General features: G+C 34.4%; 1 long non-coding RNA gene across 1 annotated transcript in view; it reads right to left on the bottom strand.

The window, feature by feature from the left end:
- The window catches only part of ANKRD20A4-ANKRD20A20P (ANKRD20A4-ANKRD20A20P readthrough), a 99,849-nt gene that overhangs the window by 55,276 nt on the left and 25,654 nt on the right, over positions 1 to 18,919 (bottom strand). Inside the window, exons 10-16 of the long non-coding RNA NR_146419.1 lie at positions 16,382 to 16,410; positions 16,218 to 16,290; positions 10,180 to 10,250; positions 5,959 to 6,122; positions 4,337 to 4,532; positions 2,260 to 3,183; positions 568 to 717 (exon numbers count right to left, since the gene is read on the bottom strand). This is a non-coding gene — a long non-coding RNA (ANKRD20A4-ANKRD20A20P readthrough). The remainder of the gene's footprint in view (positions 1 to 567; positions 718 to 2,259; positions 3,184 to 4,336; positions 4,533 to 5,958; positions 6,123 to 10,179; positions 10,251 to 16,217; positions 16,291 to 16,381; positions 16,411 to 18,919) is intronic.

The raw sequence follows: 18,919 nt of genomic DNA, 5'->3' as shown, positions 1-18,919 counted from the left end.
TCTACAGTTTTACAGTATATTTTAAATAAAAGATAGATAAAGAAAATGCCTAACTTTTCAAATAGTTTGTAAATTAACCTAAAACATGCACATTTCAAAGAATAGTATAATGGCCTTTCTGTACAAGTTAACCTAGAATCTGTGAAACAAATAGACACAGATTCTGTGTCCATTCACAAAAGTGAAGAAATAAGACAATTTTCTGGAACATTCCATGAAACATTCTCCTCTGATTTAATCTGGCCTGCCTCATCAGAGCAATACAAAAATTACTTAAAAATACTGTTTAACAGGAAAAAAGTCAATTTTCTATGAGGAATGATGTATAATTCTCAACTTTTCCAAGGGTACATATTGTAAGAGAAAAGGTATGCAATGGTTTTTCAAAATGGTAGAATGAAAGTCACAATATAAAAAAATAAGTACATTATAAAGATAGTAAAATGGAAATCATTCATTATAATGAAAATAAAAAATCAAGCTTCTGCCAAAATTAGTATCCTAAAACACGTTATATAATTCAACTAGCTACAGAATAACTGTTGACATGTTAAATTCCATACATACTTGACTTTTCACTTGAAATAATTTCTTATTTGAGGCCTGTGTCTCATCCAAATTAATGTGACAACGTGATATACCTTCCAGTGGAGACTCTAACGTCGTTAATTTTTTTACGCTGTCAGCCACTTCTTGTTGAAGTTGTCTCACAACCACCTGATAAAATATTTTTGTTACTGATTTTATAAACTGCCTTATTAAATTATGTTAATAATGTTTAATTCTAACATATCTACTTTGAAAATTATCACCACACATATCAATTCACCTTCTTTTAATCACATGTACACATTTTTATTTATTACTGAATTCAGTGAGGGATGCAGAATATGTTCTCTTCCTGCCAAATTGGTATTCTCTTTTACACAACAGATTCATTCCAACATTCAATCATCTCAGAAGCTCAACTCAGCCTCAAAGTTCCTAACATATTCAATCACCTGTTCAAATCCTTCCAACAGATTCCTATCTCAGAATAAAAGTAAAATTCCAATGGCCTTTGATGCCCTAGGTAAAAAGGCCTCTACCTCCCTCTCTGACTTCAAAGCTCCTACAACTCCCTCCTGTAATTACTCCATTCCCACTGTATGTGAAGCCTGCCACCCCTCAGTCTGAAAATGGAGATGTAGTGCCTAACTCGTAAATCACAGACAGCTACAAGTATCTTTGTACTGAACAAAATTATATTCCAATGACAGTCATTGAGCCTTGCAATAAAAATTATGAGCTAATTATTAATATAAATATTCAAAGTAAACTATAAATACCAGTGGGAAAACTAAACCAAATATAGTTTTGCTAAGTTTTACCACATTTATCCTAAATTATGATTTTATAACCAGTAGGTGCCTTTAAAACATTACGTGGTCATAAAAATACGTAATTTGACATATTTTCAGATTTGTTAATATGAATAATAACAAAGCTATACCAACTAAAATACATAAAAAGCTAGTTAAAGCAAGGTATTACAAGACACAGCAATACACTTCAATTCATCTGGGGAATCTAGAATTAAGTGTCGAAGAAAATCACTTAATTAAATTTTAATTTGAAAATACTCACTTCAGGTGTAAACATTTCCATTTATAACTACATTATGGTCTTAACATGTGGCAACATAAAGACATTAAAATTACTATTTCAGCAGTACAGAACTATCTACCTTAAAATATGACTCTGTGCCTAATAAAATTTCATAGGTGACACAATGTCTTTTCTCAAAGTAAATCATCTCTCACCTCTATCTTTTATTTCCTAGAAATGAGGCATGTTTCTAAGCCGATATAGTAAACACATTTTTCCTTTTTTTATTAAAACAGCTTTGTTGAAATATAATTTACATACTATAGAATGTATCTGTTTTAACTTAAAGTTAAAAGATTTTTAGTACATTTACTGAGTTGTGCAGCCATCTCTACAATCCAACTTTAGAGCATTTCCATCACTGTAAGATTCCTCATGCCCATTAGCAGTCACTACCAGCTTCCAGCCCCAGCCCCTTGCAAACATGAATCTACTTTTTGTCCCTATACATTTATCTTTTCTGGATGCTTCATGTAAATGGAATTATACAGTATGGTAAACACACTTTTAATCTAGATTTTTATATTCAACTAAGTTCAACATGTATCCAGAACCAAATGTTTAAATTTTCTTTCTAGAAGTTTGAAAATATTTATCTTCCTTGATACTTACTACTACTTCTGTTTTCTCTCTCTCATACTGAAAGAGACTTTCTTTTAAATGATCACATTCATTCATTAGCTTCTTACTTTTCTCTTCTAGCACGAAGTCTTTCTTTCCACTCTCAATAAAGCCTCTTTGGATATTAGTTACTATCTCTTTATGATCCTCTTTCTGATGAACGTCATCTAGTTGCTGTACAAGCCACGCATTTTCACGTTGGAGGTGACATATCCTCTCTTCTACACAGTTCCACTTTCCAGTGGAATTATTCACTTTAGCTTCTGCATTTTGATACATCTCTTTCATTTCCTGTGTTTGCTGCTGTGTTTGGCTTAGGTTGTTTTGTACAGTTTCTAAAGCCAATGACTTTTTTCTGAGACTATCTCTTGTCTTACGGAACTTATCTTTTAAGGCATTGAATTTAATTTGTGTTTCAGAAAGTTGTTCAGTAAGAAACTCATTCTCATCTTTTACTTTGGAAATAGCAGAACTCATTTCTACTTGTACAGAAACATCTTGTGTTCTCTCTAAAGCAAGTTTTAGGTTTCTTTCTGTTTTCACACTTTCACTGTGTTTGCTTATAGCAGCAGCCAGTCTAGACTGATAAGATTCAATGTCAGCTTCCAGTCTTTTCTTGCTTTCTTTTTCCTTCAACAGTTCGGCATTGAGCCTTGTATTCTCAGCCTTGAGATCATTAAGCTCTTGTTGATACCGGAATGCTGTTTCTGTTATCATTTCCTCATTGAGTTTTATATACTTTTCAAGGGCAGCATTTGTTTCTTTAACAATTTTAATGTCCTTAAGATATTTATTTTCTTTTTCCAAGTTGTCATTTTTCATTGTACATATTTCCTGTCTGAGTATAGCAATATCTGCCTTCAAAATGCAATTTTCATCCATCAGACCTTTCATTTCTTCATGATTATGAAAATCCTAAATAAAACAAAAGAAAGTTTTAGCTAGTACTCAATAAAATAACATATCATGATTACCTCTGAAGTTAAAGAATAACCTGCACATCCGTACCACTAAAAAGTTTACCATAAGTGGATATCCACCTGGAGAAAAAGTTGAAGCAAAACTTTGAACCTTATAGAGCATAAATTCCAGAAAGTTCAGAAATGTATTTAGAGTCAATGAATTTATAAAAGTAAACACACACACACACCCCAGAGAATTTTTAAGAATATCAGAATTGGAAAAGCCTTTCCCTGAATTACAACAAACTCAAAAGCATAAATTAAAGCATTAACAAATTTGGCTAAATTAAGATATATCAAAAAATTGCATTTACACTTTGATATCTAACCCATACACCACCCTACAGTAAGAACTTTTGTTCACACGTATTTGGACAGATAAAATTTCCCAGAGTTATTACAGTTCTGTTTCACTGATAACATTCTATTTCAGTTTGACTCTTTTAACACTTTTATAGTCAGTTATAAGAATTACATTCACTAAATCATAAACTAGACATTATACTAGTCACTCCTATATACATTCATTGATGAACTCATCTAGTTACCACAATTTTGAAAAAGAAATGTTAAAAATATAAGCAAGCTACAGGATTTTCCCCAGGACTTCTGACTCTACTTCTAGTTCTCCAACAGATCACAGTTACTTCTGTGGTGTAAATACATCAATACGAAAGAAAACTTTTATTTCAAAACGCCAATAGTAAATAAGATAAAATTTATAGAGCTCTTCTTAGAATATCATGAGATTATTTGCGATTGCAATAATTTCTGTTTCCTCTTTATAATATTAGGTGCAGTAATCAATATGAAATAGGGGAAAGTACAAGGAAAAATTTTACCTGGAACAAAATTTTTATCAATAGGTTATCACTAAGTATAAATTATGGCATATTATTGTTTTCAAAAGCTCTTTGTAATAAAATAATATCCTATGTGGATGCCAAGATTTATAATAAATATTAATAATTGTACCTGTAAGTGTCATCATTCATTTTTAAAAATGAGATAACATTTATGGTTTTAGACCTAAACAATATATATTAAATCAAGTGGATATTATAAGTAACAGTGATAAGATAAAGTTTAAAATATAGAATTTTTACCAAAGATTGATTTACCCAATTTGGAGTATTTCTTGCAGTCTTTGATTTCATCTCTAGTGACTGAACAGTTGGTTCAAGTTGTTTTGCTTCAACTTCTTTCTTATATTGTTTCTCTTTCCTTTCTAATTCTTCTCTATTTTTTTTGTACAGCATATTAACATTTGTTTTTTCTTCATTTTCTTGTTTTAAGGTGCATCTGCAGATAAAGACATTTATCTTAAAATTCATTTTGTTAAAAAATAAGGAGTTCATCCTGTTATCTACCTCTGCAGATGTTGTTTATTATCTTAACAAAATTTCTATGTTCTGGATTATTTTTCCTTTGCAGTTCTCAGATATTTAATTTCTCACTTCAACATCTTCAAATGAATGCATATACTTGAAAAGTAGTAAGGAAAGAATATTCTGCTAAAGCTTTTGTTACTAGTCACTCTAATATACATTATAAAAAAGGATACCAGAGATAATTCAGTAAAGTTACAGGTTCAAAATTACCTTTTTAAATCACACAGTCATAATTACTCCCTAATTAGAAAAGATCATTTACAATCAACTAAATTTTTAAAGTTACTATTTATTGACAAGCATATAAGTTCACTAGAAATAAATTTTCATCTTTATGAAATATTGCAGGTGTTTCTCCAAATGATTTACAGAGTGAGATGACACCTTCAGATGTCTCTCACACAAACTATATCTGCAGATGACTGTCATCCAAAACTAGGCTAAAGAGTCTAACATCTGTTTCCCCACACTTTTTATATTTCTTTCTTAATACTTTCAATTCACCTTCTTATTACATATATTTTATATATTCATTAACCTATTGTTCATTATGTGTAATATATAATTAATGCATGTTAATTATATATTAATAAGTGTGTGTATGTTCACACCAGTTATGTTTTCCTGTGAAATCTAGCCCCAGAAGTGGAGTTGTTGAGTTAAAGGGATGTCAGGCTATTTGAAATTTTGATACACAGCACTAAGTTACCCTTCAGAAATAATTTACTAATTTCCTATACCAACAGTGTATGAGAATGCCTTTTTCCTCACATTTGCCAACACTAATAATTACTTTTTAAATATCAGCATGACTTTACAAAATATATCTTATTTTATGTTAATTTGCATTTTTCTGATTACCAGGCAGGGCTAAATACCCCTGGTAAAAATATAAAACTTGTTAATCATAAGGAATATTAGTCCAATTTTCAATTAGTTTATAGCACAATGACAATTATCTCCTGTGAAATACTGCTATAGGCGGCCAGGCACGGTGGCTCACTCCTGTAAACCCAGCACTTTGGGAGGCCGAGGTGGGCAGAACACCTGAAGTCAGGAGTTCGAGACGAGCTTGGCTAACATGGTGAAATCCTATTTTTACTAAAAATACAAAAAATTAGCCGGGCATGGTGGCACATGCCTGTAATCCCAGCTACTAGGGAGACTGAGTCAGGAGAATCGCTTGAACCCAGGAGGCAGAGGTTGCAGTGAGCTGAGATCACACCATTGAACTCCAGCTTGGGCAACAAGAGAGAAACTCCATCTCAAAAAAACAAAAACAAACAAAAAAAACCCAAAACCAAACAAACAAAAAAAAAACACTGCTATAGGCTTACCTATCATGCTCTTCCTTCAGCTTCTTGGGAAATTGCTGAGGATACGTTTTCCCAATCTTTCTTTGTTGGGTTAATCTGCCAGCAGCAGCAGAAGATGTACTATCACATATATTTTCTGAAAGTTGTATTTTTTCACTTTTGTTTGTATTATTTCCTTCTTTGACCTTTAATAAAAGATGAATAATAATTGTTATTATTTTATTCAATAAAAAGAACTTTTTCCCTGATTTTTTTTACTTGATTCAGGTTAACTATCACCACTTTAATGATAAAAGTATTTTGTGCTTACTTTAATTTTATCATTATACATAATTATTATCATTATAAGATACTTTTATTTTATCATCGAAATTTTTGTCAAATCTGCTCATTTCTGTTTGAGGGAATAGAAGCATTTTCTAAAATTTCAAAAAGGGCTCTTCTCCATTTTGTGCTTTTATTCCCATCCACTCTTTGCTATCTGGTATAAATTTTTATGCTATCTGGCTGGCAGAAACAGAGAAATAAAAGGACACAGGCATAACATATGTCTTCTGTCTTTACTACCTGGATTTTACATGAAATAGCCAGATTAAGAGGATGTGACCTTGTAGGCCTTCAGGAACAGTAAAGAAGTTTTCCCTTTTCTGTACTGAGCTACTCTTTTCCCCACTGCCTTTTATCTCTCTTTTTTTTTTTTTGAATCCTGTGATATCAAAAAAGTAAAGGTTCTCTTTGAATTATGGGAACCAACGTTTGCCACAACAAAAGAAGCAGAGTGAAACTGCTGAGTTTCTAGTGCAGAATTCTGGAAAATGAGATGCTTCCCAGATTTCACATTCAATTACCACAAAAGTTTATAGGTGGAAAACATATGGTACAGTTACCTACTTTAACCCCATTATCTACTGATAATGGGAGTCAAACCAACCAAGACATATTAAATGTTTCATCCAGAGCTCTTGAGGTGGCATTCACTAGCATTTCATGGCACCATATAACATGATACAATTCCATATTGCTGAATTACATAAATTACCAGATAAATTTATCAAATTAGATATATTAAAAGTCTAACTTGAGCAAAGCAATTTAATGCCTCAGAGGGTGGAAAAAGGCCTCATCTGCTTTTACTTTGAAAGAAGAAAATCTCTAGATTTTTGTCTATCTTTAGAACACAATGTACAGAACTCAACTTTCTACTAGAGTCAAAGGCTAAATTTTTGGCTAAGAAATTATGCTTCTTATATGATAAAAATCATACATGCCAAAACTTACCATACTTTATTAAACAACATAACGTAAGGTCTGATACAACAGAAATATTGCAGAGTGGTGATTTTTTAAAATATGTGTAAGTATATGTTTGTTTTCAAAAATATTGGAAATAACCATGATGGGACTGTAAGTTCAAACAGTTCGAGCTAAGCAGATAAACTTGCATGCATGAAAACACATTAAACAGACTCATTTGGCTGGGAATATTCGTTGCAACTCTCAAGGCTAGACGTGTTTTTGTGGCTTGTCTCAGTCATTGCTTCCCTCCCATTGTATTCCCATTCTATCATTAAATAAATGTAAATCATCTCTAAATGAATACAAGAAAAAAGAATCTAGAATCTAGAGCTTGTTTCTTTAGCAATTTCTTTATGTTGATCTGGTTCAGAAGGTCACATGGTATGTGGCTTAATTAGTTTCCCAGCTCATACGCCACTTGGAAGACTGATAGTGAGACATAGGTTGATTAATGAACAAACATTATGAGAACATTCTCCAGAACCATTATTTAGATAGCAGAACTAATCTACTTTGACACATAATTACACATTTAGATAACCCCACTGTAACTGTACACATGAGATTTTCTTGAATAGAAAATTTGACTAAATCAAATAATTGATAAAGAGGAAAAAGAAGCAGCAAGTGAACCTCTGTCTTTTTGAAGTTGGACTTGCTTTTCTCCAAAGCCAGGAACTCAACTTGTAACATGCCTACCTCATTCTTTTTTTTAATTATTATTATACTTTAAGTTCTGGTACATGTGCACAACATGCAGGTTTGTTACATATCTATTCATGTGCCATGTTGGTGACCTTGGAATATCTTCCCATAAGTCTTCTAGCTATATTTTTGATGTTCTCTCACTATGTGGCAAAGAATAACTCACATTTTATAATTCAAGATTCATGCTTCTGTAGTTGTTAGCACTGGGATTGCCATATAGTGGCTGCTGGAATAAACGCTGTATTGGTTTTCTGTTTTTATAAGTATCTGTAGCAGCAGAAATACTGTGGCTTTCTATCTGAATCATATGCTTCATTTCTTTGGGGTGGGTAAACAACAAATCAAAAAGACTTTCTGGATCTCTAGACTGAGGCCAATGCCTAATGTCCAATTTCCAATTAGTGGTATCTGGGTTTACATTTTTTGCCATTTGCATGTCAAACTCTTAATCATCTTTCATTTCAATCATAATTACTGGGTTCCTTAATTTTTTGGTTTCAGTATCATTACAAAAATTTTCATCATCTGTGTTAGAAACAAGCTATGTGTCTGGTTTGCTATCATTTTTATAGTCTGATTTATTTTCATTTAAATGAAGCTTAGAAGATGACTGGTAACTGTATTTCAGGGACCTGGAGTATGAATGGAATAAAAAGACATTTGACATGGGCTTCCTCTGTTCAGGCGCTGCCTGGAATGCCACAGAGTTAGACCCTCCAGATGCATCTTCCTCCTCACAATCAGGGACCTGATTCATCAGATTAGAGGGCACTCCTTTTTTGTTCATCCCTCTTTAGAGTTACTATGTAGGAGCTCTTCCTCAGGGCAAGCAGTAATTCTGGAGTTTTCAAAACTTTCACCAATATTCAGCTTGAACTTGTTTGTAATGAATTTTAAAGAAAGTCGTGAATATACAGACAGATTATTCCCTTTATCACAATTCTTACCCAGTTCTGGTTCTTGAGACTTTTTTTTTTTTTTGGGCAGGTGCAAAATGGAAAACAAATTTGCTTGTTTTGTTTCTCAGATGCCTTTTCTGTCAGAGTGCATGTTTTAAAATTAGCTTTAATCAAGTATAAACAAAAATACTAGAAAATAATTAAAATTTAACTGTGAAACTTAATCTATGTGTTGCCACTCTTAAATTATGGGATTGTAACTAAAAAGTGAAAAATAATTTGCCTTGGCTTAACATAGGACAGAAATATGAACTGGCAAGCTGAACTCTTAGCATTTGTTTGGATTAAACTTAATGCATTATGTGTAAAATCTACCAGAAATGAATTCAAAGCTGATAGGTAGTATTATAAAATCTTCCTCTCTTACAAAGATTTTACCTCATCATACCAGAAAAAGTGAGCCCCTACAGTACGTGTATATTTCTGAAGATTAACTACAGACTAGGCAAACACTGAATTATTAAGAGCCAAACTGAACACCAATAAGAAAGGGAAGCAAAATTTTAAATTCTAATTCAAATAATATACTATGATAGTGTTATGTATCTAGATGGATTATCTGCTTATATCCACTTCTAATATATTTTAAGTTCCACTAGTGATAGTGGATGGATTTTTTAAATTTTAGTAACATTTACTATGTATTTATGTCAAAATAAAGTTATTGTTTGTACCCTGACACCAAAGGTCCCATTCCACAAGGTAGGATTCTCTTAATAGGCAACTGGGTTGACTTTTATGACCCCATTCACTCCCTGAACACAGACACAGAAGTCAAATCGTGACCACAAAACAGAATAAATCTTTAACCTCGGCACTGATGACCAGCAATGTAAAACTGCAACATTTGAACCACTGGCAATGATGACTCCTTTAACACTAGTTTAACTCAGTGGCCATCATTGTTAAATTGTTCACAATTTCTATTCCTTAATAATATGACCCAATATTTCATGTTACCTTCTGTATTATGAGTAAGGTTATAACAATAAAAGAGCAAGATAATTCTGAAAATGTCTTGCCTCAATTCCAAGGGTAAAGACAGCTATGAGTTACTAGAGATAGTAAGAATTACCAGAATAACTAATAGTTACTAGAGATAGTAAGAATATCTTAAGTTTCATAACTGGTTAAAATGTTTTAAAAATTAAATATAAAATTATGAGCTATTGGATTCTAAAGGTATAGTCTAAAAGGTCATGTCATTTGGACTATGCTTTGTTACTGAAGCAAAAAAACAAAACCCAATATTAAACAAGAAACTTAAATTTTCATATACCTGTGGTTGCTTCTTTTCACTTCTTTCATGCCTTTGTTGCTCTTCCTCTGAAGCCACTGGTAAGGCTTGTTCTGTTGACAAATTCATTGGTTTAGTTCAAATGAACTAAGAACAGTTAGATAAAGACTATAATCTATATAAAAATAAATAGAGAATAACATTTCTTTGTATTTTATATTTTGAGAGTTTCAATGAAGCTTAATGTTTACTGAAATATTTAGTTCTTTAAGAAATACTTCTAATCATCCAAAACTTCAACAAACCACTTGGGGAGACATTAGAAATCACCAGGTTCAAGCCATATGAAATCTCAGGGTCACTCACAAATTGTTCCACCCAACATAAATCAACAAAACTGTTAGAAACAAAACAAAATTTTGAAATACAGTCAAAATATACAATGTAACACTTTACTTCATAACAGTATCTTTTTAACAAGACACTAATTGAGTTGGCAGTTACTAATAATTTGCAAAATTATTGTTGTTTATACCTTAATTAGTGTGCACCCCATTTTTTACATCGCAAATGTTTTCCCCTACTATTCTGAAAAATTTATTTTCATCTTTTAAGACTCAGAAAGTAGGCTGGGCATAATAGCTCACATCTGTAATCCCAGCACTTTGGAAGGCCAAAATGGGGGAATTGTTCAAGGCCAGGAGTTTAAGACCAGCCTGGGAACCATAGATAACCTTGACTCTACAAAAAATTGGACAGGTATGGTGATATGTGCCTGTAGTCCCAGCTACTCAAGAAGCTTAGGTGAGAAGATCCCTCGAGCCCAGGAGTTTGAGGTTGCAGTGAGTCTCGATCACACCATTGCACTCCACCCTGGGTGACAGAGTAAGAACTTGTCTCCAACAACAGAAAAAGAAAAAAAAAAGGCTCAGAATGCTGTGTGAAGTCTTCCTTGATTCTAGCTGTCTTTCTCCACACACACAGGTGTCTGCTTCATTGGAGTCCCTTAGTACTTTGTCAAATTTTCCAGCGTCACTTTACCACCTGAACTGCACATCATGTCTTTACATGTTGATCCCCTTTGCTGTTAGACTGTAGAGGACAATCTTTTGAATCATCTTTGTATAAACAGTCTTAATTTTGCTAAATAATTACTTATTGAGTTCCTGCTAAGTGTTAGGCACTGGGGTATAAGGAAGGAAAATAAAAGCTGTCAGGGATGGCTTTCCTAAAGATCATGCATGAGCTGAGACTTAGAGAGTAAGGTTAGCCAGATTAAGTGAGGCAGAGGGCAGGAAAGGGTGAGCACATGCCAGGCAGCAACAAGAGAGGGAGAGAAGCCTCCAAGAGAGTATATATTTCTCTGCAAAAGAGGAATGGTGAGGGGGCCATTACCAGCAGCTCAGTAATTCCAGAGAAAAAGGCAGATGGGGAAAGGGCTACAGATGGAGATTTGGGCAGAAATCAGTTTCCTTTTCTTTTCTTTTTTTGGGACAAGGTCTTACTCTGTCTCCCAGACTGGAGTGCAGTGGCATGATCTTGGCTCACTGCAACCCGGCCTCCCAGGTTCAAGTAATTCTCCTGCCTCAGCCTCCCAAGTAGCTGAGATTACAGGCATGTGCCATTACCACCTGCTAATTTTTGTATTCTATTAGAGATGGGGTTTCACCTTGTTGGCCAGGCTGGTCTTGAACTCCTGACCTCAAATGATCCACCTGCCTCAGCGTCCCAAAGTGCTGGGATTATAGACACGAGCCACCATGCCCAACCCAGAAATCAGTTTCTGAAATCCTTATATAAAACTTTAAGATGCTTGGACATAGGTATTCAGGAGTGGTTCACAGTTCTATTTGCATTAGAGATAATTAACTCTAATTATTGTGAGGAGCATAAAATTCTGAGGCATATAAATCAATGAACAAAGATAAAATATAAGGCAGTGTTGCAAAGATGATGCAGGCCTGAGGAGATGTTTTCAGAAATATTTAGGACATAAGTATCAGTGGCCATTGTAAGCATGAATTTTTATTGAATGAATAAATGTATATATCTGGGTCCCTGGAGAAATACACTCTGCTCATTACTTTACAAATTTTATCAAATGAGAAGTAAAATAATATACATAAACTGTTTCAGTTACTTGTATTTACTTTACACTTTTTCTGTTTCAGTTTTACTGTGCCAAGGAAATGCATTTGGGTTTTGTGGTGGTTGTTGCTGTTGCTGTTGTTGTTGTTGTTGTTGTTGTTGTTTGAGATGGAGTTTCACTCTTGCTGCCCAGGCTGAAGTGCAGTGGTGCAATCTCAGCTCACCGCAACTGCTGCCTCCCAGGTTCAAGTGATTCTCCTGCCTCAGCCTCCCGAGTAGCTGGAATTACAGGTATGTGCCACCATGCCCAGCTAATTTTGTGTTTTTAGTAGAGATGTGTTTCTCCATGTTGGTCAGGCTGGTCTCAAACTCCCAACCTCAGGTTATCTGCCCGCCTCAGCCTCCCAAAGTGCTGGGATTACAGGCACGAGCCACCGCGCCCAGCCACATATGGGGATTTTGTTTTAAAAGTTCTGTTTCCTGGATCTACCAAGCTCATGAGAAAATAGAAGCAAACACGTCATTTGCATAGGTAAGAAACTTTGGATTTATACTTTGTCATCACTACTCTAGAAGATTATCATCATGTTTTGTAAAATAAAATGTTAATTCTAGACATAAGGGGAAAGAGAAATTAAAACTATAGGGGTGAAAAAATATTGCATAATTTATTACTGTTGACCTGACCATATGACTGATTAAGGGCACTGAATTTAACTTGTATGTGAAGTAGACCCCATATTAGCTGCAGTTAATCAATAGACCAAGTATTCTAGCAGAATTAAATTTGATGCTCCTGTGTTATCTTTAAATGATACAGCTCTTCTGAAAACCCATACTCATAGTGCATGATTATCCATTAAGACAAGGTGATGGAATGTGTGAATACAGCTGAGGAGACACCCCAAGGCAAATGCTCAATGGTTCCCATTAATATTGGGGAAATCAACATTATAATACAGAAAACCATAGGCATTATTTAATATTTGGTTTTGGAAGGTATTTTTAGTGACACTGCATACAGTTGTACCTAATAATTGCAAAATTACAGATGTAAAAATAAAACAAAGGCACATTGTGTTTGAGTAGGAAATCTGTAGACGTCTAGCTGGTTTTCTATTCCAGGCCCAAAATTCTAAATATAATCATGGTACCCGCACACAAATTTATGTTAAATACCAACTTCAATGAAATTACTCTTTCTCCTCATTCTCTTTGTTATTTATATGTTGCTTTCCTTAAGGGAAGAATACAAATGCCTTGCTAAGAAGCATTTTGTTTGGTTGTAGGCTGCATAAAGGGAGTAAACCAAAGTACATTTGACCACAAGATGACTTTTTAAAAGCCAGAACTATGGTAGCATGAAGCCAACTGAGGTAATCTAGAATAAAATTTTCTATGTTTGTTTCCCTTCTTTGCTCTCTTTCTACTCTAATAAGTGCGATTCACAGAGGTAATGAAGAGTATAATTCCCTGATAAAAACACAGCTCCAAGATTAATCCTTTCTTTAACTATGAAGTTCGTGTGTCCAAAGTCTTGTAGTTGCTGTCTGATTTTTGATCACGAATGGTGATACAGATATTTATCATCAACTCACAACTTCCCAAATCTTTGAAAAGTCTTACTATTGATGGTTCAACTAGTAGAAACATAATCTAAAATATCTGAAAATAAAGTTTTTATTAGAATGTAAATAGTAATACAAATTGTAATAAGGTGTAAAAGTTCTTTCTTCACTGAAGCAGGACCATGATGTCCTCTACCCCACAAACACACTACTCCCTCATGGTCTAATGTATCTTAAAAGTCCTGTAATTGCTATTAACTCAGACAAGTTTACTTAACTTGTTCTAAGCTTCTGTTATTTACTACAATTTACTTTATCACTCAATAATCTCTATTATATATGTTGTTTTCCATGAGAAATTTTTTTATTAATAATTAGGATTCTTCAGGGATAAGAAAATATTTGAATAACTAAGTTTGTGCATAAACACATTAAGGTCAAATACCCATGACAATATTGTGTGTTTCTGTGTACTAGAGACAAAAACTTCAAAAAAATTTTTAATGAATATACATTAAAAACTGCTTTCATTAAACTGAGATGATCTTCCCTCAATGCATGAATACCTTCAGAATTCACATAGACCAAAGAATTGTATAAAATATAATAGCCTTAAAAATCTTATTTGTACCTGGCACAGTGGCTCCTGCCTGTAATCCCAGCATACTGGCAAGCTGAGGCAGGCAGATCACCTGAGATCAGGAGTTTGAGAGCAGCCTGGCCAACATGGTGAAACCCCATCTCTACTAAAAATAGAGAATTTAGCAGGGTATGGTAGCACATGCAGGTAGTATCAGCTACTCGAGGGGCTGAGGCAGGAGAATTGCTTGAACCCGAGAGGCAGAGGTGGTAATGAGTCAAGACCGAGCCACTGCACTGCAGCCTTGGTGACAGAGCAAGACTCTGTCTCAAAAACACAAACAAACAAAACACCTAATTGTTCCCACATAAGTCTATATTCACACAAGATCTGAAGAGTACACAACACCGTGAGACAGGACAGACATAAATTTTAAAAGTTATATTCCCGGTTTCTGTAAAAATAAAACGGTTGAATTTAAGCTTTTAAGACAAGTCAAGGAAAAGAGCAAAAAAATGCAAAAGTGAAACTTGAAAGGTCATTTTCCCATCAAGGGCTCATGATCCACTGGACATTCACAAACTATATTGTTCAAAACATTAGTTCTGAATTTTGATCTGAGTATCCCTGGAGTTGCAGTTTCATTCAAAGATGTCCAAGAGGTCAAATAAGACAATATCATTTGCTATTTTCAGTTTTCTTTTCTGAGAACAGCACAACAAACTTCTTCAGAGAAATGAATTGTCCTAACTTCATAGGCTAAAGGCTCATGAGTCACAGTTCTAAGGGCATTTATAAAATATGGTGGTGCATGCTTGTATTCTGAACTTTTCAACTTTAAACTCTCATATAGTAAATATTAATAGATACAAACTGATTAAAGAAAAGCCCACTTAATCTGACATTATTTTTCTTTTTCTTTCTTTCTTCATTTATCAGCAACAGGAGAGTCTAACTAAATGTGGTAAAGTGGTATAAGGGAATACAATGAAAAGTGTAAAATGAATTAAACCAGAGATAATCATATCAATGTGGATACATCTGGAAAATATAATACAAAATACACCAAAGAAAGTGGCAGAAAGGTATGTAAAGTGTATAACCACTCACATACCATTTTGGGACACAAATAAAAAATTCTGCATATTATTTCTGAGCATCACAATATAGTTAAAGATTTCAAAAGGGCATTGAAATGAAAAACAACCAACTTATGATGTCGGTAGCCTCTATGCAATCATGTTTTAAAAACCTTAACACCAAAAAGTCTCAAAATCACCATTTTAAAAGACTGTGTCTACCAGTTATAAATGAATCATTACTTTCCTCATTTTTAATAGTCAAAGATACCACAAACACACACATACACACAGCTATATATACACCTACACACACAGTCTTGCTCATTAGAACATCTGATTGGCTTCAGATCATCAGTGTAATAACACTAGCAGCAAGCCTCTAAAGTTAAAACAGAATCTGACATGTTAATAAGTAAAGCTTTCCTCTAGGTAAAGTTCAGAACTCCAAGTAGCACTTAACTCATTGGAAATATCTCAGAGTCTCAAAATTCACTTCTTTGAATCCCTGACAGGTATAAAAATTTTATACTGAAAACTTCATGCTATTCAAAAACATTAAAAGAGAAACATCTGAGTTAAAGCTTACATTTTTAAAATCTTTTTTATGCTTCTAAATTTATTTTTATTCAAATATGGATACCAACAATAACATTTATGTCAATGCCTTCCATTCAATTTTGAACAAATAGAATTAGGAATAAGAATAATGTGAGTACTTCCAATCATTGAATGTACTTATTTCCAGTATTCCATTAAATGTACCTGCTCTCAATGTCTGTACATTCTTTCTTTGTACTGCTCCTTTCACAGCAGGATCTTCCACTTCAGTGCTAGGCTGAATGGGTTTTAAAAGAAAATGATTCATAAATCATATATATTTTATACAACATGGAGTTAGTGATTCAAAAATATACATAATTAATTACCTTCAAGGAAGGATGTTTTGCAGGAGGCCCTACAAAGCAAAGGGGATATGTCATCAATTATATGTAAGTATGACAGGGCCAACCAAACATTCATGCAGTGGTACTATCGAGCTGAATTCTCATGCCTGGCTATAAAAATAATTACTTAAGGTTTTGAGGGTTCTTCTTGGCATCTTTTCATTGCCTAGGACGGCAACATGACAGAAACATAATGAGGAAAATAGGAATATAGGATTCCTAAAATGCACAGTTTACATTTCAGTAGTGAGATTATGTTTCAAATGCCTATACCTAAAATAGAAAAGCATGGATATCACCGTGAACACGTGGACTGATGAGGAGAAAAGGGACCATTAAACAGAGGAGCAAATCAAACCTGAGGGAATCGACGTCAAAGCTGATGGTGAATGTACAGAGTATTTTAACTCAACACAGCAGAGGCATTGCTGCCAGCATGCCACAAACAAATTCCCCTCGTCTTGTCACTGAGGAAATACACAGTTGGGATGACAGTTCAGGTGAAAGTGTGATTCACCTCTCATCAAAGAAAGTGTTCTACATTGATCAGCTAGTATACACACTTATGAAATGACAGCTAATCAAACTACTCATTTTTCCCATGATCACATGGGCTACTGCAGCACCTACATTTCTCCTATCCCCTCATTTGGCCTTGAGTTAGAGCTCCTTGATCCACTCATGCAAGGCGGTCCATAAAACACATAAAATAAACCATGTCGAATAAGCTTCCGATATCAAAATATTTATCAAAAAAGAAAACACTGAATTACCACAGACTTGCTGGATATGAATACATATTTATATTTCAAAATCAGTGCAGTATTTATTGAAAAAGAGAATTTTGGTATTCACCGAATGAATTTTGTAATATCAAAAAAAATTAGCCAAAGCATCTATATGCAACTTAATCACATCTTATTCACTCATGTCAGTGAAACTTCTCTCTCTGAGGCCTGACAGTTATCAAGTGAAATGAGCTGCTGTGGTTTACCCCAACTCTAGCACTCCCTCCTGCCTCCAGTACTCTCCACAGCAATAACCTCTTTTGTGAGACTGGGCATATGCTGAAGCAACTGGAAGTGAGTTGTCTCAAGTTTACTTGGCTTCAACTCCCAAGACCCCAGCAAATGTCTTTCTTTCCTCCCTCCGTGTCCTTTCACAATCCCTCTTCCTTTGAAAAAGTGATTTTTAGAACTGTCATCCTGATGCTTCCCTTCCTAACTGCTTTTTATGGATAATTGTGACCACTTTTTTCATCTGTATTCAGCAGTAGTATACACCTGTAATCTCTCTGTTTTCATCTCATTCTCCTTCCCCTGTGGCTAGAATCATGCTCAGAAATAAAAGGAAATTAATGCTTTCCCTGGATTCTGTTATTTTTTAAATTGCTCTCCAATGGTTCTTTTTCCAGAGTTCTCTAAAGGAAGGCTATTCCCTTGCTATTCAGAGCTGTGTCCAAGGACCAGCACCAAAAATCACCTGAGTACTCATGAGAAATGCAGACTCCCATACCTGCTGAATCAGAATGTGCACCTTCCAGAAGCTCTTCAACTCATTCATGACAATTTGAATGCCCTGTTCTACACTGATGTGCTTCCATATTGGTTTCCCCTAATTGCCCTTTTGGCCTAGCCTCAATTTCTTCCCTATTATGTCCCTCAATTTAATACTACATTATAAGCCATAATGTTTCTAATGAACTTTTAATCAGGCAATAACTTCTTGAATTAATTTCTTCTCCATAAATCACCCAACACTATTCAATTATGTTAATTTGGCCTATATGATACTATCCTATGAGGTTACAACATTTTCTATAAAAACAAATTATAGCCATACATGGCTGACCATCTTTGGTGATGTTCATCTATGGTAGATAAAACACAGGTCTGTGTGGTGAGGTGCCTCAATCCTTAATGCCTCCCCAGTAGTGAGGATGACAGCAAGAGAAGGAAAATGTTACTGTAATTCTCTGACACATTTTGGTACTGGAAGCTCACTTTATCTTCTTTCCTGTTTCTAACACCATGTTCTTCCTTCTTCTACAGATCAATTTGCCTTTACTATCCTCTCTTACTTACCTCTGCATATGCTTTTTTATTTATTCCATGTACAATCCGCTCTCCTCATTCTTTCTTTCTCTTTATTCATTTCCTCTTCCCTCTCTCCTGACTTGCCTCAGGTCTTAGAGTATCTTAAAATGGAACTCACAACTCAGCTCCTTTAGTGGTACTCCCAATAGAATCAACTGCTGACCCTTGGTTAGAGACACAACTTATCACCATTTCACTTCTCCTTTACTTATTATACAGTTAATAGGACACTTTCTTTAGCTATTTTAGCTAAAGAAATAGGACACTTTCTTTAGCTCATATTTTCAAAGAAACATTCCATCAAATGACTTTTTTTGTTTTGTTTTTTCTGAGACGGAGTCTCGCTCTGTCACCCAAGGTGGAATGCAGTGGTGGTATCTCCGCTCACTGCAAGCTCCGCCTCCCGGGTTCAAGCCATTCTCCT

Source organism: Homo sapiens, chromosome 9, assembly GCF_000001405.40.
Source record: "Homo sapiens chromosome 9, GRCh38.p14 Primary Assembly".
Lineage (NCBI taxonomy): Eukaryota > Metazoa > Chordata > Mammalia > Primates > Hominidae > Homo > Homo sapiens.
Note: the sequence above shows the minus strand (reverse complement) of the source record. Positions and strands in the feature narration are given on the sequence as shown.